Source organism: Homo sapiens, chromosome 3 (genome assembly GCF_000001405.40).
Source record: "Homo sapiens chromosome 3, GRCh38.p14 Primary Assembly".
NCBI classification, from domain to species: Eukaryota; Metazoa; Chordata; class Mammalia; order Primates; family Hominidae; genus Homo; species Homo sapiens.
Genome location: NC_000003.12, coordinates 9,730,291 through 9,751,500, shown reverse-complemented (window position 1 = coordinate 9,751,500; position 21,210 = coordinate 9,730,291). Strand labels below are relative to the sequence as shown.

The window sequence follows — 21,210 nt, the reverse complement described above, 5'->3', positions numbered from 1 at the left end:
CGGTCACACAGCAGATGCTTTGTATATATTTACAGAATGAATGAAATCACTTGCCCTAGGTCACACAACCAGGAATGGGCTCAAAATCCTTGTCACTTCACTATGGTGATTAGCAGGATAATAATAATGGTAATAATACTTACTATGTGCCTGGCATTATTCTAAGCACTTTACATGTATTAGTTCCTTAAATCCTCATAAAAGCCTATGAAGTAGATATAATCCCCATTTTACAGGTGGCAAAACTGAGTCATAGAGAAGTGACTTATGTCCAAGAACCCTAACCCCAGCCCAGGTCCTGTACTCACCTTGGAATTTCTGAGCCACCTCTTGGAAGTGGGAGTCCACGGAACCCCAGTGGTGATACAGTTGAGCCAGGGTAACATCTAGCTGGAAGTACTTGCGCACGGCCTCCAGCTCGTCTGGTGTGGGCCTGCTAGCCTGGCTCTTGTCTCCTCGGTACACAGTGCAGTGGAGCTGCTCCTCAGTCTGAGTCAGTGTCCATACTTGATCCGCTAGTACACCACTCCAGTGTGCAGGACTTTGCTCCCTCCACCTGAGCCCAAGGCACATGACAACCCTGGCACTCAATTTCCTTTCTTGCACCCTTTGGGGTCCCTCCTATCCTACAATAGCTCCATGTACGAAACTAATACAAGTAACAGTGCTATCTTCCAGTCTGAGCAACATGGCGAAACCTCACCTCTACAAAAAATACAAAAATTTAACCGGGCATGGCGCACACCTGTAGTCCCAGCTACTCGGGAGGCTGCGCCCGGGGGGTCGAGGCTGGAATGGGCCTCTCTGCATTCCTACCTGGGCAACAGAGCGAGACCCTGTCTCAAAAAAAGAAAAACAAGTGCTATTATCTTCTGCATCGGTTATACCGCTGGATCCTTACAATTATCACTGTACAGACATATTAAAGGTAACAGGTTGGCTACCCGTGCTTGTTTCCTCTTTTGTACCCCGGGTTTCTTCCATCATCCCCCAAATTCCTTTGTACCCCATGCCAGGCAGTGTTGAGGCGGCAGGAGCCAGTCCGAGGGGACAGGCTTCTCAGGCTCAGTCACTCACCGGAAAGATTGTCCAGAAGGCAGAACCAGGTCCAGGCGCAGCTCAGAGCGAGGGCACGGGATGGAGGCCCACAGGGCAGGAGTGGAGGCTAGAGTACGATGCCCCATGCGCCTGGGCAGAAGCGCGCGGGCAGGCATTTCCACAGCAGGCACCGCCCCGTAGTAGCCCCGCCTACCCAGAACCAGGCCTCGTCGACGCCCAAAGACCCCGCCCAGACAAGGACCACGACCCTTAAGGCCTCGCCCACACGGTGCTGTTTAACAACCTTCCCTGTTTCACTTAATTCCTCCACCTCCTGCATGCCTCGCCCTTTGCGGGTCATCAAAGCCCCGCTTCGTGCCCCAATTCTCCGGCTTTCCTGAGGTGTAGGTCCCGCCCCCTCCTTGCGACTTATCTTCTCCCGCCCCCAGAGCCTGTGGGCGCGCACAGCTGTGTTCTTCTGGGTTCTCCAGGGGCAGACCACAGCACCACCGGAAGTAGGGCTCAACCACCGCTCATTTCACCTAGAGGTAGCCAATCCGAGGAGGAGGTAGGAGGCGCCAATGAGAAATCAGGGTGGGCGGGCCGTTCTGAGGCGCTCGCGCGGTTGGCCGGCACTGGGCTCTCTGCCAGCTGCTCGCCTTTCCCCCTCCGGGATTGTCTGCACTCGGGGCGCTAACGAGTTCCATCTGGGCGCCCCGCGGTTCCTCAGGGCTGTCCGTCTTCAGAGCCACGTCCTTCCCCAGCCCGTTCTCCGAGAGCCGTTCTCCCCCGAGCCTTTGCAGTCTTAGGCGTTCGCCCTCCTTGGGCCGCCTCCCACGAACCCTGTCTTCACCAAGAACCGGAGCGAACACAGCTCCGGCCCCAGAGCCCTCGGGAAGTGTCTCCAGAGTATTATTCTCTTCTGCGCCCGCCCGCTAAGCTTGTCCCATTCAAGGCCTTTAGGCGTCCTCTGAGACCTCAGGACATCAGAGGCCTCTCCTCGGATTGTCGTCCCGCCGGCCGCCACAGCTGCTGCCTGCCGTCTTGGGCATTTCTTCCATACTCCATCTGCTCATGCTTTCCTCGGAATGGGACGTTTGCCGGGGGTTTGTCTGGGGCTGGGCCCAGAAGCCCATCAGGTTGAGTCCAAGTCCCAGTGTGTGGCCCTGAGGCAGCCTGCCTTCTAGTCGCCTGGAGTAGGAGGATGGATTATTTAATTTCTTCCCTTCTGGAGGATGGCATGAAAAAGCAGGGAGCTAGGAGACATGACCTTTATCTGGGCCATTCTCACCTTTTAGCATAGGGATTTGGGGTTGCTGTATCTTAACTATCAGGCTGCAAGTTTTTTTTCTTTGAGACGGAGTCTCACTCTGTCGCCTAGGCTGGAGTGTGATGGCGCGATCTCGGCTCACTGCAAGCTCCGCCTCCCGGGTTCAAGCGATTCTCCTGCCTCAGCCTCCCGAGTAGCTGGGACTACAGGTGCGCGCCACCACGCCCAGCTAATTTTTGTATTTTTAGTAGAGATGGGGTTTCACCATGTTGGCTAGCATGGTCTCGATCTCTTGACCTCGTGATCCAGCCGCCTCGGCCTCTTAAAGTGTTGGGATTACAGGCGTGAGCCACCGCACCCCGCCCAGACTGCAAATTCTTGAAGAGCAACATCTGCAGCGGATTGACCCTTGTGTCCCAGCCAGAGACCTAGCGGAGTGTACCGTCAGCATGGAATCAACATCAGACCAGTGCCATCATTGTCTCAGTGCCAGTCCTCAGTGGCTGCAAGGCCTGGGCCGCCCCTTCTTCCTGTGACTGTTCCTATCTGTAGGCATGCCATCCCACAGGCGCCTAGCACTTGGAAGGCATTCCTTCAATAAATGTCGGTGGAGTCTGGAAAGAAGGTGCTGAGGTTGGGGGTGAGCAAAGAGCAACCGTCTCCATCCCAGCTCTGTCTCCGGTTAAGCAGTGGGGAAGGTCTCAGCTGTATTGATGCTGAAACACTTGGGCCATGCCACTGGCAAAGGACTTGAGGCCTCTAAGGGCCAAGTAGGAATCGATAGTTGACTCTTCCCCTGGCAGTTCAGCATACTGGTTGAAGAGCCAGGTTTGCAAACAGACCTGGGTTCCAATTCTAGCTCTGCACCTTCCTAGTTGTAGGAACTTAGGCAAGATAATTTTTTGAAACTTCAGCATCTTTGTGGAGATAACCAGTCTATTATTAAACTACCCTATAGTTATTGCAAGGATTACGCAAAGCTGAATGTCTAAAGGTGCTCAACACAGGGCCTGCCACTCACTCCATGCATGGGCAACAGGGGCTCTCTTTGCTGTGTCTTATGAAATGTAGCATGCACAGCAGTCAGCAACCACTTGGGCCCAATTATGTATCATCCCTGGGGCACAGAACCTCCCTTTGTATCCCCTTTGCCCTGGCAGGGGGCAAGAACAAAGAATTCTAAATTGACAGTTTATTTTCTAAGAATCAATATATTTTCTTCCTTTGAAATAAATACAAACCAGTTTGAAAGGTGGGGGAATCTATGGGAAAGAGAAGGGAAATGGGGACAGCCCCCAGTCTTTTTTTTTTTTTTTTTTAGTACCAAATGACTCTGGCGCGACCCGGAAACGCAGTTACAAATGAGAATAATTTAAATTCTCCGATAATTACAGTATTTACAACAGCAGGGGAGGGAGTCACCTAGTGCCCCTCTTCCAGGCTGGACAGATGCCCACTCACCTCACGACCGGTAGGGGCCCCAGGCCTCTAGGCAGTTATGGATTCTCCTGGCATGAGCAGGTAGAGGTGGTGGGATGGCCTGTTTTACGCAGTGTCCTAACTTTGGCCCACCACCCCGCCCTACAATGCTGTGAGGTCTCTGGAGCTTTTTCTGACCTGTGGGCCCTCCCTCTCCTTGCGCTGAACTGCCATTGGCCCTTGGAGTGTTCTGTACAGTCCAGCTGCACTTAGGGCAGGAGGGACCTCCCCCACCCAGCTTCCCCTGAGACTGGCCCCAAGACCAGAAATGAGTCAGTGCAGAGGCCGGTGCCACTCCAGGACAGTGAGCAAAGGGGAGGAGAGAAGTCACAGGGCACTATAGGTTGGGCTGTGTTGAGCAGTATCAATCACTATCGCTGGTCTCACTGCTCTGCTCGCCTTGCACCTTGCTGCGGTGCTGCAGAGCCCTGTGGTAGGCGATCTGTACTGACTTGCGGATGTTGGACTTGCGGCCCTCCAGCATCTTCTCCTTGTCTAGGTCCTGGTTCACACCCAGAGGAACCAGCTTGGTCCTGGGCAGCCACTGCCTATAGGATAAGGTGAAGATCAAATAAATCATCTCAGGGAGAACAAGGACCAGCCTTCCTCCTCTATTCACTCAAACACACCACCCAAGCACCCACTCTGGCCAGACTCTGTGATGGTCCCTGCCCTCAAAGGACTGTTCATGGTCTAGAGATGAAAGAGCCCAGTCAACAGTTATACTGTGTGGTGGCGGCGGGAGGGTAATCACAGGGTATTTATGGGTACAAAAAGGAGGCACCCTGACCTCACCAGAAATAGCTACCCTGTGCCATAGGCTCTAGGCAGACTTTACTGACATTGAATATCCTCTGCAGACAATTAACAAAAAGACTACATGTGTAAATGTGACAGAACAGGGATTCAGAGCCTGAATGTTTATGCCTGCTTTATCCTCATTTTGTCACTGTGGAGGCAGAGGTGGGAAAACTAAGTCTAGAAGCCATCTGAGTCTGGGTGGGAGCCACCTCTATATTTGTCATAAGTCTCTGATGGTCCTTTGGTTTCTAGCTATAGCTGTGTCCACTAGTGCCCACTCAGCCTCTCAGACACATGGTCGACACAACCCTTTCGCTCAAAAAACTGTTCTAAGTCCCTCCCCCACTGACTTGTGATAGCCCAGTCTGCCTGTTGCTGGAGTTTCCTGGCAGTCTGCCCCCATACCACACAGGGCTGCATCTGTGGCTGTGAGTCACACCAAATGCTCCCCTCCTTACCAGGTTCGTTTGTTGTCAAAGAAGAGGACGAGGTAGAGATGCTCTCGGGCTTCCTGGGTCATCTGCTCCCCAAGTTTCAGCACCTCCAGTGGGGGCACAGGGATGGGAACCCCATGGTGGAACATACCTTCTCGGGGCATCTTTGGATCAATGATCTGAGGATATAATAAGAGCCCAGTTTGGTTCAGTCCATGTCCTCCCAAGGCTTTTCCTCCTCAAGAACTTAGAGAGTATGTCTGAAGTGGGGACAGAGAGGGTATCATGCTACTAGAACTGCAATGCTGACCCTCAGCTTCTTTCCATGCTAAATTATTTCAGAGCCCAAGGAGCAAAGAGAAGCAAAAGGGAGAGATGGAGAAACTGAGTGGGAGCCTCTAAGTGGTACTCAAGCTGTATCTGCCCACCAGTCTACCTTACCAAGAAACTCTGTGCCCCACAGCTCAGCAGGGAGTAGGAAAAGTCTGCTAACTGTGAATCTGTATTCTGGGATTGGAAAGCAAGAAGTGTAACAGAAGCAAGCATACCAGAGCTGGGTATGATGGATAGCCTCGGCATTTGGCCCACACGAGGTCCAGAGCATCCAGCGGGGAGTCCTCATCCTCTGACAGCCAGCCAGCTCCCCGGCCCAGACTCTTCCTTACCACTTCACAGGAATGGGGGAGAGGGGGTGGATCAGCAGCTGGGGGGCTGGCGAGACCCTGACACTGGGTCCCCAGCATCCCTGGCCTTGGGCAAGGGAACTTACTGCTGTGGCCCACGCCGCGGCCAGTGCCCACGGAGTAGGCCTCATTCTCAGTGCCTGAGGTATCCTCACTGCTGTCCTCTGGGAAAGTGCCCCGAGAGAAGGAGGGTTTGCCCCGGCCTTGTTTTGAGGGCGTTGTGCTGTGGACAAGACAATGGGAGCTCAGCTCAAAGGAGGGGAAGAATGGGGAACAGCATGGTATGTGCCCTCAGCTCTTAAAGCCCGCAGGGTCTGAGACTTTTGGAAAGCAGAGGCTATATGAGGAATTTCAAATTCAAACACCCACAGGGGCTAGGCTGATGACCTAACAGAGGTGGGTTAGCCTGAGCAGTGGCGGCAGGAGTGCATACTCTAATCATCACCTTAATCCAGGATGGTTCTCTCTGTTCTATTAATGGTAACACTGATTTATTTATTTAGCAGAGAACCTTGAGTTTGAGCCATCTTAATCTAGACTGAGATGGCTGCCACCCCACTTCCAACAGGGAAACCTACACAGGCCCAAGAGCCCTGGAAGGGCATCCCCTGAGGTTGGCCTCGATCTGGAGGGCTGGTACCTGGTCCGGTCTGAAGCAGCGCTGCTACTGCTACTGCTGCTGGACTCAGAGTCTGAGCTGCTCCGGGGAAGGCTGCAGTCATTACGGTATACCAAGAAACTCTTCTTCACTGGTTGGTTTCCACCGCTGAAGCCATTGGCTGGTAAGTCTTGGTTGAAGGGAAGGGGAGGAGGGAAGGAACCGGTCAGGAAGATGTAGATCAGAGATGACATGGAGGTAAGAGGGACTTGGAGCTTGGGTTCCCCTTCTGTGCTGGAAAATTCCTCCAACCTTGGCCAGCAGAGCTAGCTCTGGGCAGTGTCTACCACAGTTGGCCACAGCCCTGCTCCACCCCTTGCTTCCCTCGGCAGTTACTGGCTTTAGGACACAAATGGCTTAAAGGGCAGGAGATCCCCAAGGAAGGTGAGAAGAGAAAAGGTAAAGTGATACAATGGAGGCAGGGGGCCCTGGATGGGACTTTAGCTGGGTCGTAGTGTCTCTGGGCCTCAGTTTTCCCAACTGTAAGATGAGTGAGTGGAGTTAAAGGATTCCTAAGGACCCTTCTAGCTCGCTCTTTTATGGGCAAATAAAGGGGTAACTGGGAGTATGCTGGGAAGAATGGCAGCTTTGCTCACTCTCTTGGGGGGCTGGGTGATGGTAAGGCTCACCCATTGGGGGGTCTTCTGTGGACTTATCACTGTCGCTGTCTGAGCTCGAACTGGGCCGGGGGCTCCTACCCCGCTTGCGCTGACGCAGGGAACTCATGATGGGGAGCTGGGGGGGCCCCACAGGACTGCCTCCGTGGCTGGGGGTCATCTGGCTCTCCCGGTTTTTGGGGGGCCGGCCCGGCCTCTTGGGCGGTCCAGCTGTCTTCGGGTTCTTTTTGGAGAACAGAACTGAGGTTCTCCTGCCCACCTCATGTGCGGGGGTTGAGGACATGTTGGGACCCAGGCCTGGAGCAGAGAAAGAAAGAAGGAGAGTTGGTGAGGGGCCTGATTTGAGAAGGGTAGATATCCAGGGTCATGCCCTGGGCATATAGGACCATTACTCCAGCTAACGTTGGGGAGATCATTTTAGGGGCTTGGAATTTGGAAGATTAACTCTTATACAAATAGCCAGAGAGGCAGCTAAGAGGCCCCTGATTGGGGAATGAGGGAGAAAGTACAGCTAGCTGTGTAGGAGGGACCTCTGCCTGGGGAATGGCAGGGGTTGAGTGTGTGCTGCAGAGCCAAAGTCTGACTTGCTTTGGGGTCCACCTTGCCATGGGATTCAGACCTTTGCTTGTCTCCTGGCTGCTGCTCTCCTCTGCCGCACTATCTGTCTGCCCATCCTTGTCACAGGCTGCCGGGTGGGGTGTCAGACTACCCCGGCTCGAGGGGCCATGCCGCTCAGGGCCATCACGTCCCGTCTCTCGCTGATGGGCAAGCTTCCGCCGCAGTGCCGTCATCTCTTTCTTGATCATCTTTGCACGCCGTGAGCGGCCCACACTCTGCTTGCTGGCATTCACTTCGTCCAGCCGCTCCAGAAGCAGCTTTAGCTGTTCTTCCACTGGCAGGTGCTTCTGGTTCTCCAGCAAGACCAGCCGCTCTTCCTCGGCTGCTAGGGGTAGGGTTGGAGGGGAAAGGTCAGACTCAGGGCAGCCCTCAGGGCCCCTTGAACCTGGGCAGGCAGCAAGAAACCCACTCATCCCCCCTGGGCTTCTCACCAGGAACAGCTGTAAAATAGCAGCACCAAGATGTGGAATGGCGGGCACTGCTATCCATTCACCCAGTCTGGCTTCTTGGGGAGCATTCCTGGGGATAGCTTGCCACTGCTCAGCCTAGCTGCTTTCTGCCTACACTGCCTGCTCCCAGGAGGGGACTTTTGGAAAGCTGTCCATCCCCGGCATTGGCCTCTTATATGTGTGTGTGATATATCACCCACCATCTTCAGTGTGGTGTGTGGCCTCATCTCCAGCCAGGCTGTGGGGGATATGCATGCCCGTCTCAAAGTCAATGCCCATTTTTTCTGCCTGGCGCCGGGCCTGGCGGAGCACAGCACCACCCTGCTCACGAAGCCGCACTGCTGCCCGGTAGAAGATGGTGTCCTTGGCGTTATACTTGAGGCAGTTGCTGACGATGAGGTTGAAGTCCTCCTCAAAATCATCAAAATTCAGGTAGCGGTAAGCCTCCAAGTTCTGCTTCATGGTGAAAAAGTCCATGGGCTTTTTGATGTGGTCTAGGTAGTCAGGTACCTGGAAGGGCAGGGCAGGTTTGTTTTAAGTGGAGATATCCTCCTTATTGCCCCGAACCCTGCTCCTAACAAGCCCCCCTGAAACACATCCAGCAACCTCCTCCCACCACAGTTAGAGGCAGGCATATAGCACAGGGGAAAGGAAAGCTGGATTCTGGTCCTGACTTTACCAGTCACAAGCTGTGTGACTTTGGCAAGTCTCTTAACCTCTCTGGGCCTACTTTTCCTCTCCTGGAAAATGATGAAAGTAGAGCCAAATATACTTTCTAGACTATATGAGGCTTTAGTAAGAAAATGGCTTGGGGACTCCTCTGAAAATAAACACCACCTTGCATTCCTACAGCTCTTTTTACTTAACAGTAACTTATAAGGAGGCTGCTGCCTCAGGCCTCTCATTTTATACCTTTTAGAGAGAAGAGTCTGCCAGTCAGGACCTAGGGCTTCAGAGCTGGTTCTTTAGGTGCTGAGCCTTCTAAAGTCTCCGTTCTAGGGTTCAGCACCCCGAAAGTGTCTTCCTGCCCTGGGATTATTCATTTGGCAGACTCAGTCCCTGCCTCTGGGGAAGGAGTGCAGACTGCCTCCCATTCTGGGCCCTTGGGGTGTGACAGGGACAAGACAGAGTCCAGGTGATACATGTGGCTCCAGTTCATCCTGCCCCAGAGCCACCAGCCCCTCTCTTCAAGGTCCCCATCTAGTCCTGGCCCAGACCTGCAGCAGGGGTCCAACTGGGAGAGGAACAGAGAGAAGGTGGAGTGAGGGGAAGGGATTCTTACTTCGTCCAATTCGGTTACCTCAGACAGAGGGACCGGCTCGCTGAAGATGTTGCCTGTGTCCTTCTCTTGGAGCTGCTCCAAGGTTTTGCGAAGGAGGATGAGGAAAGGAGTCAGCTGCATCTCCATGGCAATCTGCTGAACCTTGATCTAACATAGAAAAAGGCCTGATCAGCCAGGCCTCGGCCAGTTCAGTGGCAAAGAGGTCTGAGGATATGGTCCCAGCTGGCCTGGGAACCCGCCTTCTTTCCCACCCTCACAGCTGGGTGTACTCATACAGGTCTACCTTCTATGAGGCTCCACCCAGGGAAACTTGCACCAACAATTCTGGCTTCCCCCTTTCTTGAACTACCAGCACCAGCTACCTATGTCACATAACTGAGGATTCTGTTCATACGCTCCTGTGACATTCTGCTTCCAGCAGAACTAAAAGCACACCGAGCACCAGGAGACCTGACTCCAGCGTCAGCCCTGCTGCTATCTGGCTGGGGTACACACGCTATTCCTTCTCCTGGGTCTTTTTTTTTTTTTTTTTTTTGAGACGGAGTCTCGCTCTGTCGCCCAGGCTGGAGTACAGTGGCACGATCTTGGCTCACTGCAAACCCCTCCTCCCAGGTTCACGCCATTCTCCTGCCTCAGCCTCCCGAGTAGCTGGGACTACAGGCGCCTGCCACCATGCCTGGCTAATTTTTTGTTTTTTCTTTTATAAAATAGGGCTGGCCCAGGAGCACTCACCGTCTCCCTTTTGAGTTTTTCCCGCTTGCGGATCAATTCCACGAGCAGCCGAGCTCGCTCCAAGTCATGCCGGAGCCGCTGCCAGGACTTGAGCTGTTCTTTAAGGGCCCAGTTCTTATCCTCAGAATCTCTCTGTAGAGGCAAAACGAAGATCAGAGGATGATTAGAAAGCCAGAGGAAAGGTCAACAGGGAGAAGAGAGCCCAGGAAACTCAGGTCAAGCCAAAAGAGGGAGCACAGTAATTTATTGGTAGTGCCTCAATCTGTGTGTCCCCAAGGCCTGGCAGAATAAATGCTTGGTATGTGTTTGTTGAATGAATACATAAACACATAGGAACAACATCTTTTCATTGAACATTCCATGCTGATCCTGGTTTGAGGGCTAGCTTAAAGGAGGAAAGAGTCTAAGCCCTCTGACACTGGAAACTACAGTTGCAAATTTTGGTTTTCGTCCCCCTGGCGCTAGTTCCCAGAGCCCACAGGGAACTGGACACAGTACCCCAACTTGGTCACAGTTCCTCTGAGATTGCAGGTGTGTCTGCAGGCGACGTAGCAATGGGACCCCATTCCGTGACTGCCGCTTCAGTGTCCAGTAGCTGTGCAGCCTCTGCATGAACTGGCTCTTCCTTTGGATGGTCAGGCGGTTGGTGATTTTACTAAGCCTGGGAGGCAGGAAACAAAGAGTAAAACTTGTTGGGCCCTGATTCTCTTAAGCAGAGCAAGGGTCTCTGGCCAGTGAAAGTTCCTGAATGGGGATGAAGGGAGAGGATCTCTTGTCCAAAAGGCCTGGGACTCTGGACTTAAGGCAAGGAAGAAAGAGTGGTGCCATCAGTGGTACCGTGGCAGACAGGAAACCAAGCTCCCAGCACTAAACCAGATCCCTAACCCTGTACACCAGCAATCAGGGACTTCTGCCCCTAAGACTGCTCTAGTCACTGCAGCCCAGAGTACTATTTGACCCTGGGAGCCCCACTGAGACTGAGCCTTTGAAGGTTTTAAAATGAAGTACAACTGTACAGCAGAAATATATAGTAAATCAAATAAACGGCACAAGAGAACTAAAAAAATCCCTGGCCATCACAGCCCAAATGAGCAGCAGTAACCACTTCACAACTTCTTGAGCTTCCCCTTCCCCGCTTTTCATTCTATTTGTTTCTTCATATTCAGACCATTTTTTCCATTGCTGCCAGTGGCAGTTCCATCCTCTTCCATCCCAACTTAACAAACCACACCATCAAAATGAAGGGCAGTTCCAAAACGCCTGTTAGCTATGCCAGATAAAAGCTGACATTTCTGGCTCTTAATGTGAAAGTCAGGTGACCTGCTAAAGACAACTATCTGTTTTGAAAATATGTTCTTTTTAACTTCTATGCAGCTCCTGGGAAGATAGCCCAGCCCTGCCATTCCACTCAGGAGGCTGCCAGCTCCTCTCCTGGAGGCTCCTTTCTCCCTCATCTGCCTGTCCACCGGCTCCCCACATACCTGTGTGGTGGGATGCAGGGCACTGACACCACAGGTGCTGCTGCCCGCTTCTCTGCCAGGATCTTCCGTGCCTTCTTCATTTTGATCCGGGACTTGGCCTTGGCCTTCTTGACTTTCTCTGAGCTCCAGCCCTTACCCTCATCCTCCTCCTCATCTTCATCCTCCTCACCCTCGCTGTGGGACAGGGCAGGCAGTCGGCGTGCTGAACCTGGAGGCGTGTGGATGTCGCAGTAGGCTGTCTTGCGGACACTGAAAGAGGTGCCGTTGGCGCCTGTCTCCCGCACAGGCTCCATCTTCATGTAAAGGCCAGCCTGCTGGGCGCATGTCACATGGAAAGCTGTGTAACAGTTGGCCTTGTGGCACTGGATGCAGGCCCCTGAGCCCCGTTGTTTGCAAATGTAGCAGGTGAGCTTCCAGCGAGCTGGTGGGATGTGCTCAATGCTGTCAATAGGCTCTAGGAAGACCGTGTTGGCGAAGCAGACCTCAGGGATCCACAAGGCACACACCACATGGGCCCAGCGCCCGTCATCTGTCTGCTTGAAGGCACCGCCCTTGTTGGGGCACAGGGCACAATCCACAGCACGAGAGGGTGACTGCAGGCAACGGCGGCACAGCCACTGGCCCTCAGGGATATAGGGGACACCGTAGCACTCCTGGTGCACGGCCAGGTTGCACATGTCACAGAAGAGGATGACATTGCTGTTCTGGCACTCACCATCATTGCAGATACAGCAAACAGCATCCTCGTCCACTAGCGCATTAGGGTCGCCTTTATTATGACTCTCAAAGTACGACTCCTTCTCCAGTCGGTCCATTAGGTACTCAAAGATCTCCTGCGGGATGGGACTTACACCCTCTGTCTTCCGACGCTCATTCATGATATCCAGCCAGATGTAGTCCTCCTCGTCCATGTCATACTCTACTTCCTCGTCCAGCTCCTCTGCAGACTTCTCGATGTACCTACGGTACAAACAGGGAACTCAGCATCACATGGTTGAGATTTCCCTCCCTTAAAGATGATGGGTCATTTGCCATTGAGCACTTACTCTGTGCCTATGCCCTTCAGATGTGTTGTCTCATTTCATCCTCACCTTAACTCCAGATATTATAGGTACTATCATCGTTTCTATTTTGCTGAAAAGGAAACCTAAGGCTTGGAAGGTTAATCACCTGGCCCCAGCTCACTTGTGAGAAAGTGGTGGAGCTGGGATGTGAACCCAGGTCTGCCACTGCAAAGCTCATGTCCTAGCTGCTATATGTGACACCATCTTCTTGGGGTTGCAGAGGCTCAGCCAGCCTCCTCTAAAAGGAGGAAGGTGGGGCAGCTAGTACCCCTTAGAGTGGTCCAGATGATGGTACGAAGAATCGGGGAAGAAGGAAGGTCATTGGATGTCATTGACAAATTACATATAAGTTGTTTTAGCACTGGTGGGCAGGGCCTCGACTAGAGCTGCCATGGATCTTCTCTCAGCTAGTGTCAGCATCAGCTCAAGGCTCCGTCAAACTCTAGGTGCTATGTTTGTTCACTGGATAGCCTTGGGAGATAACAATTATAATAGCTAAGGTTTACTGAGGATTTCCTATGAGCCAGGCATTGTGCTTAACTATTACATTTATTCTTACCACAGCCATAGAGTTAGTGTTCTTGTTGTCCTCATTTTGCAGATAAGAAAACTTAAGCTTTGAGAAGTTAATCAAAACATAGATAGGTCACATAACAAGGGAGTGGCAGAGGCAGAGGCATTCAACCTCCAGCCCAGTGCTCTTAATGTCCAACCTGTATCACTTACTATGCCAACAGGCCTGGAATTGAGGGCTGCTCTCGGTGCTTGTCACACAGAGAAGGTGCTCCTTGCCTGGCATGCTATAGGTGGCCTAGACTCTGGCACTGTAAACTACAGGGTACAAAGGAAGGGATGGGGCTTTGGCTTCTAAGCAAACCAGATTTAAATCCTGCCTCTGCCATTTTATGACTTTTAGGACATCACTGCTGTACTAAACCTCAGTTTTACTGATGACAGAACGAGGATAATACTACCCACTCACAAAGAAACTGTCAGGGTTATATGGAATTATAAAAATGAATAGGCCACAAACTCTTGGCCTTTACATTTATTTATATACTACCTTGCCCAGTGCCTACTACCCCATCAGGCTCCAGCAACCCCCAGCAGGCCCATGGAAGGAAGTGTGAGCACCTTGGTGTAAAATGCCACCTAACCACTAAGTCATGTGTGACCACATACAGACGTGTGCAAATATGTACATTTATCTTTTTATTAAAAAGTTGTTTTGAAAAATGAATGAGCTAAGTCAAGTGGCACACAGCAGGCCCTAGAAAAACATTAGCTCGTTTCTCCTCTTATGTGGGAAATGGAACTTTGGCTGCTAGAGTGGGCCAGCACACACAGGCTCTGGAGCCACACTGCCTGGGTGCTGTCTAACAGAGGGCAAGTGAGCTAAGCTCCCTGAGCCTTGTTTGTTCATCTGTAAAGTGGTGATGCTAATAATCTGAACCTATTTCACATAGCTATTCTGAGCATTAAATGAGTTAATGCAGGTAAAGTGCTTAGGACAGTGCCTGGTGTGCAGCAAGCACTCAATAAATGTTAACTTATTAGTTTTTGTATGGCCTTTACCCACCTTCCTAGCATTATAGCTGTGTATGTGTCTAACTCCTCCACTACACGATAGAAGTGGGGATTGTGTCTGATTCGCCATACAGATACAGGCACTCATCACTGTTCATTTGAAAGGCATTTTGGGGGTGGAAGGGAGGAGAGAGACTGAAACATTGTAGGAAGCAGCTTCTTCCTTTTTAGCCTTTTACCTCTTCCCCAAGGTGACTGCAACCTCCCTATCTTTGAACAAGGGTATGACTCATGGATGGTGTGAACCATCTGGCTTCTTCCAGGCCTTGGCACCAGCTCTCTTCAGCACCAATTCTCACCCTTTTCTCTGCCATGACACACGTGACATTATGTGATGGTGCATAACACACTCCCACAGGCACCCAGATTACAGGCTGCAGTACAGATAAGGTAGGCTGCATGTCACGTATAATTCCTGGCACACCAGCTGACATGCCACCCTCTCTCTCCCCCTCAAGGAAGCATATTAGAATGCAAGCAAGAGAAAGTGATGCTATTAGAGAGATGACCTCAAATCTTCTCAATTTATATAAAAAGTAAATCGTTTCCAAAACTTGGGCAGTTTTACCAACAGTGGTAACAAATTCCATGCAATACACATCTCAGTTGTTTGCAGTGTACCTGCTGAGAACTGCTCCCCTGAAGAACATATCTGATCCCCAGAAAGAAAGAGTCAGTCTAAGTGGAGGGAGGAAGAAAAGCAGCTGAATGAGCTGGGCTGGGCTGCCTGTTAGAGCAGAGAGAGCTCAAGGGCCATTGGGAGGGAGGGGAAGTCCAAAGAGGGGTCTGTGTGTTTGGAGTAGGGCAGAGGTGGGTAGGGCAGTCAGTGTGAACAGAAAAGAGAAAGACTGTGGAAAGCCAGAAGGAAGTGGAGTTGGACTGAAAAGATGAAAGAATGGGAGAGGAAGTGGGAGATGGGCTTAAACTCAAACAGTGGAGAGAAGAAAGTGCTACAGGCCATATTGCTTGTTTCCAGATTTGCTTTTAAAGAACTGAGATTTAGGCCGGGCGCGGTGGCTCATGCCTGTCATCCCAGCACTTTGGGAGGCTGAGGCGGGTGGATCATGAGGTCAGGAGATCGAGACCATCCTGGCCAACATGGTGAAACCCCATCTCTACTAAAAACTCAAAAATTAGCTGGGTGTGGTGGCACGTGCCTGTAATCCCAGCTACTCGGGAGGCTGAGGCGTGAGAATTGCTTGAACCCAGTGGAGGTCGCAGTGAGCCGAGATCACGCCACTGCACTCCAGCCTGGGTGACAGAGCGAGACTCCGTCTCAAAAAAAAAAAAAAAAAAAAAAAAATGGAGGTTTAACATCATGTGGACTGCACTTTTGGTAAAAAATGCTTTTCATATAAAAGCTTTTATGACAAATCCTCCTCAGAGACCAGGCCTTCTAAGTAGCTGAAAACAAACTTACACTCTTGGCAAATTAACTCATCAGAATGCCTTTTTTGCCTTGGATGCCAACTTTCAGAGAGGTTTTACACTTGGTTTTAGTGCCATCCTTCAGCCAGGATTTCTCCATGTAGTTTCAGCACCACACTGCCCCCCATATCCCTTCATCTTTTACCTCATGTTAAAGAAACAATTAAATGACAAAAATAAAAGGGCCACTGGAGGAGTATTAAATATTGTTTAAGTATAAAATACTGCTTAAACATGTTAAAGGACAGATGACAATAACAGAACAAATAGTGGGAGAATTACCTCTGCAGATTTACAAAGTGCTTTTAGTACCTTATGAAATCAGTGATCCTAGTCTTCTACCTTTTGGGAGACAGAGAAATACCGTATCTGCTCTGCAGATGGGGTCCTTAAAACACACGTTAATTTGGATGCATTTCCCAAGGTCATGCATAAGGAAATGGAGAGGACCAGGAATCAGAAACAGGATGTTTTGCCACAGTGGAAACAGTACAGCTATGGAGTCAGAGGGACCTGAGTTTGAATCCCAGTTCAGCTATCTACTGGCATGTGATTTCAGATAAGTCTGGCCAGGCACAGTGGCTCACGCCTGTAATCCCAGCACTTTGGGAGGCTGAGGTGGGTGGATCACTTGAGTCCAGGAATTCAAGACTAGCCTAGGCAACATGGTGAAACCCCATCTCTACAAAAAATTTTAAAAACTAGCTGGGCATGGTGGCATGTGCCTGTAGTTGCAGCTACTCAGGAGGCTGAGTGGGAGGATCACTTAAGCACGGAAGGAGGAAGTTGGGGTGAGCCAACTGCACTCCAGGCAGGGTGACAGAGCCAGGCCCTGTCTCAAAAAAAAAAAAAAAAAAAAAAAGGATAAATCTGGCACCCTTTCTTGACCATAGTTTCCTCATCTGTGAAATGAGAAAAATACCTACCTGAGAGTTTTGAGAATAAAATAAAGGAGTAGCGTGTGGCACTGTAGAGTAAGTGCATTAGTGGCGTACCATTCCACTCACTGCCCTGGCAAAATCAGTGTTCTTTCACTATTCTTTATTCCTGTCACTCTTCTATCTGTGCCTCTCACCTCTCTCTGGCTAGTGAGCCCTGCTTGACCAGTTTTCCAGAGCTGCAAGGTAGAGGTGGCCTTACCGGTAATAGGAAGTTGGCCGGGGTGGGGCATCAGGGGTGTCCTGTTCCAGCTCCCGATAGACCACCTCTGGCAGCTTGGGAGTGGTGCTCGCAGAAACATTGTGGTGGTGGTGATGGTTGGAGTCCTTGCGCTTCTCCTTGTTCTTATGTTTGCCTGACTTGGGAGTAGCAGCTGGTGTCTCAGTGTTCTCCTTGTTGCTGCCATTCTCAGGGGCCTCCTCGGGGGCTTCCTCATCCTCTGACACCACATCCAGGTTGTCAAAGATGCTGATGCGGTGGACGCGGCCATGCAAGTCCACCTCCACCATGCGCTGGGCCTGTGCATAGCTCATCACCTCACGGCCTGGTGACTGTGAGACCTCTGAGGGGCTGGGTGACTGCTTGTTGGCTGGGCGTGACTGGCGCCCCTTTTTCTTGTGCTTGCGGAGTGGAGTTTGTTGTGGGGGTGGTGGGTTGTCGTGGTCATAGTGGTACAGGTGGTACTCAATACCACTGTAACTCTTGTAGACCTTTCGGCAGGTCTCCACCGGGCACTCGTATGGTGGCTTAGTCGCCCGCAAGTTGTGGCAGAAAGTCTTCACATCAAAGTCCACCCCCATGCTGTCACATCTAGAATACACAGATCAGTTAACATAAGGCTGGGGATGAGTTCCTGGCCATTTGCACCAGAGACCCCAGTCTTTCTAGCCCTCCCCCTCACTTGGAGTCACCAGATTCTGGCCAGCCTACCTCTACAGTGTCTCCAAATGCCATCTCCTCCACCATAGCCCATATCTGGGCCCTCATCACCTCTTGCCTGGTTATCCTGCCCTATGTCTCAACTTCTTTAGCCCAATCTCACATCATGTAGGAGAATGATCTTTCTACCAGGTAGTAATGATCATGACACTCTCTTCATTAAAAGCCTCCTGATGCTCCCAGTTCCTTCAAGATAATATTCCAAATTCTCTATGATGCCATTCAAAGAGCTCCTTTCACTGACTGGCCCTAGTCCTCCTTTCTTTTTACAAGTTACAGCTGTTTTTGTCTACACAGGGGATCTTGCCATTCCCTGAATGTTATAACCTCTCATTCCTGCAAAATGATCCCTATTTGGAATGCCCTCCATACTTTCTGATTGGTGGGCTCCTACTCATTCTTCAAAAAACCAGCTCAAATGTCACTTCTGACACAACTTCTCTGACTCTCCCATGGGGAGCTGTTTCCACAGCATTCCATTCTCACCTCTACCACAGCACTTGACATACTGAAAGTTGTCTCCCCCCTGGACTGGGAGCTGTGTAGCAAGGGTACCAGAGCCTATCCACCTCTGTATCCCCAGTACCTAGCATGCACTGGACATTCAGTTTTTGGCGAACGAATGAATGACCTGTTGAACGAATAGCTGAATGAGGGGATCACCAGACTGAGAGCTCAGATGGGATGAAGGCCATGTAGAAAGCTGAATGGGTGGGTGGCTAATGCTTTAGCGTTGGACTCCTGCAGAAATCACTGGATCACAGAAAGAATTCATTTACTTTTGAGGTCTTTATGGGGAGCCTGGCCCTGGTACTGGGTAGGAGATGTACTGTGAAACAAAGTGAAAACTGAGGTCATTTAGTCAGTGACAGCAGCTTGTATTACATTTGAGCTGTTCACCCACTCACACATCAACTGAGTGACTACCAAGTGCCAGGCCCTAAGGGTACAAACACGAACGCGACAATCTAGGCATGCTCAGCTCCATGCTGGTCCGCAGGGGCCCTCCCTCCCCGCTCCCCAACATTCCTGGGTGAGTGTAGACAGCAGATGGCACCAGGCCTCAGGAAGCCCAGCTTGGTCAGAGACTGCCCCAATTTCTCTCGGCCTAGTTGAGTTCAACCATTCAGCTAGGGGCTTGGCACCATCCCAGCCAGGCAGGGCTATCATGAGCTCCCTGACAAAATAACCCCTCTTGGCCTCTCCACCTGTGCCTTAACCAGGCAAGTGGGCTGCTCCAGCTCCACTGTCAACGGCTCCTGATTTTCACATCAGTAACGCTACACGTCCAACTGCAACTCTTCTATTTCCTACCTGCGGCTGTGTCTTTAAACATAAACCAACCGAAGCACAAACAAGCTCTCCTCTTTCCAAGCTGGGTCCCGGGTGAATGGTTCCCAAAGTAGCACAGCGAATCAGCAATCTCCCCTTGGAACCCGGCAGCAGAGGCACAGGCGAGGGAGACGAGAACTTAGACCAGAAAGCCCGTGGGGAGGGCCCAAGGAGAATGGCGGCTGCATCTGCCCCTGAAGCTCAGGGGGCTGGAGGAAGTAAGGGGCGGGGGCCGGAGGGATAGGGCTGGGCCCCGGCAGTGCCCGCAGCCCACTCTCCGGATGCGGCGGCGTTTCCCCTTTGTGGAAGTGTAACAAGTGAAACAAGGCTCCCCGCCTGCCACTAGCCCGGGCAGCCCCGAAAGATACACTGTTGCCCCAGGATGCCTGCTGGGAAGCAATGCACTGTCAGTTCTCCCAACTGGAGTTGCCAGAGAGGTTCCCGGGCCACGCGGCTCAGTGCGCGTCCCACGAACGTAGCCTACCCCTTCCCTGCCGGCCACTCCCGCCCTGGTCCCAGGCCCGCACTCACCGGCCACCTCGAGTCCGGGCTCATCGCCGGGGGCGCCCGCCGGGGCTCCGACCCCACTTGGGGAGGTCGGCGGGGAAAGTCGGGCCGGGAAGGGGGAGCCCCAACTCCGGAGACCGTAGACCTCGCCACCCCGGCCCCCTGCCGCCCCACGCTTTGGTCCCGGCTCCCCGGGATTCCTGAGCTGACCCCTGCCGCTCCTGGTCCCGCCGGCGCCCTGGGGTCTCAACTCCGTCGGCCGCCGCCCGTTTCGCGAGCCCCCAAGATGCCCGGTCTCGGGACCGGGCGCTGCTGGAACAATGGAGGCTCCCAGAGGCAGCGCGAGGACAGCGGCGGCGGAGACCGTGGCGGCAAAGGCTGTGGCAGCGGCGGCGGCAGCAGCGGCGGCGACGGCGTCTGCGCAGGGTAAACGTGGCGCCGCGGCGCTACTGAGCTGCACTTTCGCCACGGATCCCCGCCCGCCCGCTGAGGCTCGAAAGACCGTGCTCCGGGATTCAGAAAGGACCCTGGACACCCCACAGGGCTTCTCTAGCTCTCCCATCTTAGAGTGGAGTTTCTGGAGACTGAAGTCACCGTACTCGGGATCTGGGGTCGTCGGGCGGTTTGTGGCGAATCTGCAACCACGGACGGTGAGCGCGGGGCTGGGCGTGAGGAGCCCGCCCTTCTCCCCTCCCCCTCTGCCTCCTCCCTATCCGCTCCCTGCCTCCTGCTGGCGCCGCGGCTGCGGGAGGGACCTGGCCTTGGTCTCGGAGGAAGGCGGTGAGGCGGGGCCAGAGTCACGGGGCGGGGCTGGGGGCAGGGCCGGGAGCAAGAGGGATGCGGGCTGGAGCCTAAGGGACCGGTAGTTATGGGTAGGACCGGGGCGGGGCTGGAGACTAGACCGGTCTGTGGGGCGGGGCTTGTGGGAGGGGGCGGGGCTACCGCACAGCGGGGGCCTGTTAGAATAGCGGGGTAAAAAGTGGGGCTAAACAGAAGAAGAGTACTCGCGAGAGAAAGGGCGGAGCTTTGGATGAGCCTGGAAAGTGGAGCTGGACTAGAAATAAAGAACAAAGTTGGAAAAAGCGATGCGACGCTGAAGGGAGCAGGCGGGGCTTGGTAAGGCAGGGGCGGAGCTGTGGGGAAAGGGCAGGACCGATTAGGGATAACGGGGCGTGACTGAAGGAAAGGGAAGAAACTTGGGAAAAGTAAAGGAGAGGTGCTAGAGAAAAGGTATGGGTCTGAGAGAAGGGGCTGGTTTGGGGCCGGTGGGTGTGAAAGGGCTTGTCTGGTAAAGCGGTGGGAAATCTGTGGGTTGGCAGGGATGTGCTGCGGGTTGCTGATTGGAACATGGTGCCAAAACAGCTGATTTAATGTGAGTGGGTCACCTCCTAGCAATGTGAACGTGGGCAAGTTCAGTTCTTTAAGTTCCTTATTTGTAAAACAGAGCTCGAAAACTCTGTTGTTAGTTCTTGAGGGTTTCAGAGAACTTGCATGGCAGGGGGAGACATCCTTAAACAATACTTCTCCAGTTTTGTCATCAAAGAGGAGCGTGAAAGGTCTTCCAGGGTTCTGGGACAAAGCCCAAAGCATCTGAAAGCTTCTATCTTCTTAATGCAAACTTTGCATTTGACCCAATAAAATGTATGTTTTCTAAAAACCATCCCAATAAAATCGACATGCCAGGAAGAGGTTTGCTGATTAAGATCTTGGGATCTGAAGTCAAACTGATGAATTATCTTAAATGACTCATCTTCTCAGAGCCTCAGTTTCCTTATGGGTAAAGTGGGAATAATATATAGTACCTGTTCTCAGAGTTGTTGTGAGAATTAAATGAGATGATGCTTGTAAATCACCTAGCACACGGTTTGACAT

General features: G+C 52.3%; 2 protein-coding genes across 43 annotated transcripts in view, besides 7 other annotated features; both read right to left on the bottom strand.

Moving 5' to 3' along the window:
* Positions 1 to 1,549, bottom strand: part of OGG1 (8-oxoguanine DNA glycosylase) — a 41,119-nt gene extending 39,570 nt beyond the window's left edge. For 26 of the 28 annotated variants that reach the window (NR_148932.2, NM_001434445.1, NM_001434446.1 and 23 more), the window contains exons 1-2: positions 1,078 to 1,549; positions 309 to 556 (exon numbers count right to left, since the gene is read on the bottom strand). Coding sequence is in view for 25 of the 28 variants with exons in the window: in NM_001434445.1 (NP_001421374.1) it covers positions 309 to 556; positions 1,078 to 1,214 (385 nt within the window). In the remaining 3 variants the exon portion in view is untranslated. The remainder of the gene's footprint in view (positions 1 to 308; positions 557 to 1,077) is intronic. The other 2 variants (NR_148930.2, NR_148931.2) reach the window with 1 other exon arrangement.
* Positions 1,776 to 1,895: an enhancer, noted in NCBI's record as "active region_19407". NCBI's record gives its function as "activates an Ori minimal core promoter by ATAC-STARR-seq in GM12878 lymphoblastoid cells {active_cell/tissue: GM12878}" and the evidence as "EXISTENCE:reporter gene assay evidence [ECO:0000049][PMID:35858748]".
* Positions 1,926 to 1,975: an enhancer, noted in NCBI's record as "active region_19406". NCBI's record gives its function as "activates an Ori minimal core promoter by ATAC-STARR-seq in GM12878 lymphoblastoid cells {active_cell/tissue: GM12878}" and the evidence as "EXISTENCE:reporter gene assay evidence [ECO:0000049][PMID:35858748]".
* On the bottom strand, positions 3,486 to 19,766 carry BRPF1 (bromodomain and PHD finger containing 1). 15 transcript variants are annotated; one of them, NR_160918.1, is made up of 15 exons: positions 19,363 to 19,766; positions 16,762 to 17,370; positions 11,543 to 12,502; positions 10,560 to 10,722; positions 10,062 to 10,193; positions 9,348 to 9,476; positions 8,960 to 9,149; positions 8,248 to 8,557; positions 7,600 to 7,920; positions 6,993 to 7,277; positions 6,346 to 6,493; positions 5,792 to 5,928; positions 5,571 to 5,689; positions 5,047 to 5,201; positions 3,486 to 4,335 (listed from the first exon to the last, which is right to left on the bottom strand). NR_160918.1 is itself a non-coding variant. In NM_001003694.2 (14 exons), the coding sequence occupies exons 2-14, from the start codon at positions 17,358 to 17,360 to the stop codon at positions 4,152 to 4,154; spliced, it is 3,663 nt and encodes a 1,220-aa protein (NP_001003694.1). In that variant the 5' UTR covers positions 17,361 to 17,370; positions 19,363 to 19,766; the 3' UTR covers positions 3,486 to 4,151. The 15 variants fall into 15 exon arrangements, 14 of the variants coding, with proteins under 14 accessions (NP_001003694.1, NP_001397633.1, NP_004625.2 ...); NM_001003694.2 differs by lacking the exon at positions 8,960 to 9,149 and having other exon boundaries at positions 7,600 to 7,923; positions 9,330 to 9,476; NM_001410704.1 differs by lacking the exon at positions 8,960 to 9,149 and having other exon boundaries at positions 9,330 to 9,476.
* Positions 18,651 to 19,210: an enhancer, noted in NCBI's record as "H3K27ac-H3K4me1 hESC enhancer chr3:9773975-9774534 (GRCh37/hg19 assembly coordinates)". NCBI's record gives its function as "activates a minimal SCP1, AML or CMV promoter by ChIP-STARR-seq in primed H9 embryonic stem cells {active_cell/tissue: H9 hESC(primed)}" and the evidence as "EXISTENCE:reporter gene assay evidence [ECO:0000049][PMID:30033119]".
* Positions 19,288 to 19,417: a silencer, noted in NCBI's record as "silent region_14039". NCBI's record gives its function as "represses an Ori minimal core promoter by ATAC-STARR-seq in GM12878 lymphoblastoid cells {active_cell/tissue: GM12878}" and the evidence as "EXISTENCE:reporter gene assay evidence [ECO:0000049][PMID:35858748]".
* Positions 19,428 to 19,477: a silencer, noted in NCBI's record as "silent region_14038". NCBI's record gives its function as "represses an Ori minimal core promoter by ATAC-STARR-seq in GM12878 lymphoblastoid cells {active_cell/tissue: GM12878}" and the evidence as "EXISTENCE:reporter gene assay evidence [ECO:0000049][PMID:35858748]".
* Positions 19,771 to 20,330: an enhancer, noted in NCBI's record as "H3K27ac hESC enhancer chr3:9772855-9773414 (GRCh37/hg19 assembly coordinates)". NCBI's record gives its function as "activates a minimal SCP1, AML or CMV promoter by ChIP-STARR-seq in naive H9 embryonic stem cells {active_cell/tissue: H9 hESC(naive)}" and the evidence as "EXISTENCE:reporter gene assay evidence [ECO:0000049][PMID:30033119]".
* Positions 19,948 to 20,307: a silencer, noted in NCBI's record as "silent region_14037". NCBI's record gives its function as "represses an Ori minimal core promoter by ATAC-STARR-seq in GM12878 lymphoblastoid cells {active_cell/tissue: GM12878}" and the evidence as "EXISTENCE:reporter gene assay evidence [ECO:0000049][PMID:35858748]".

Excerpts from the sequence above, each read along its gene's own strand:
- BRPF1 (NM_001437892.1), bottom strand. The coding sequence starts at position 17,360 with ATGGGGGTGGACTTTGATGTGAAGACTTTCTGCCACAACTTGCGGGCG. Across the intron at positions 9,477-10,061 it reads AAAAACTCAAAAGGGAGACG|ATCAAGGTTCAGCAGATTGC; the intron begins GTGAGTGCTCCT and ends TTTCTATGTTAG. Across the intron at positions 7,278-7,599 it reads CAGCCAGGAGACAAGCAAAG|GCCTGGGTCCCAACATGTCC; the intron begins GTCTGAATCCCA and ends TCTCTGCTCCAG.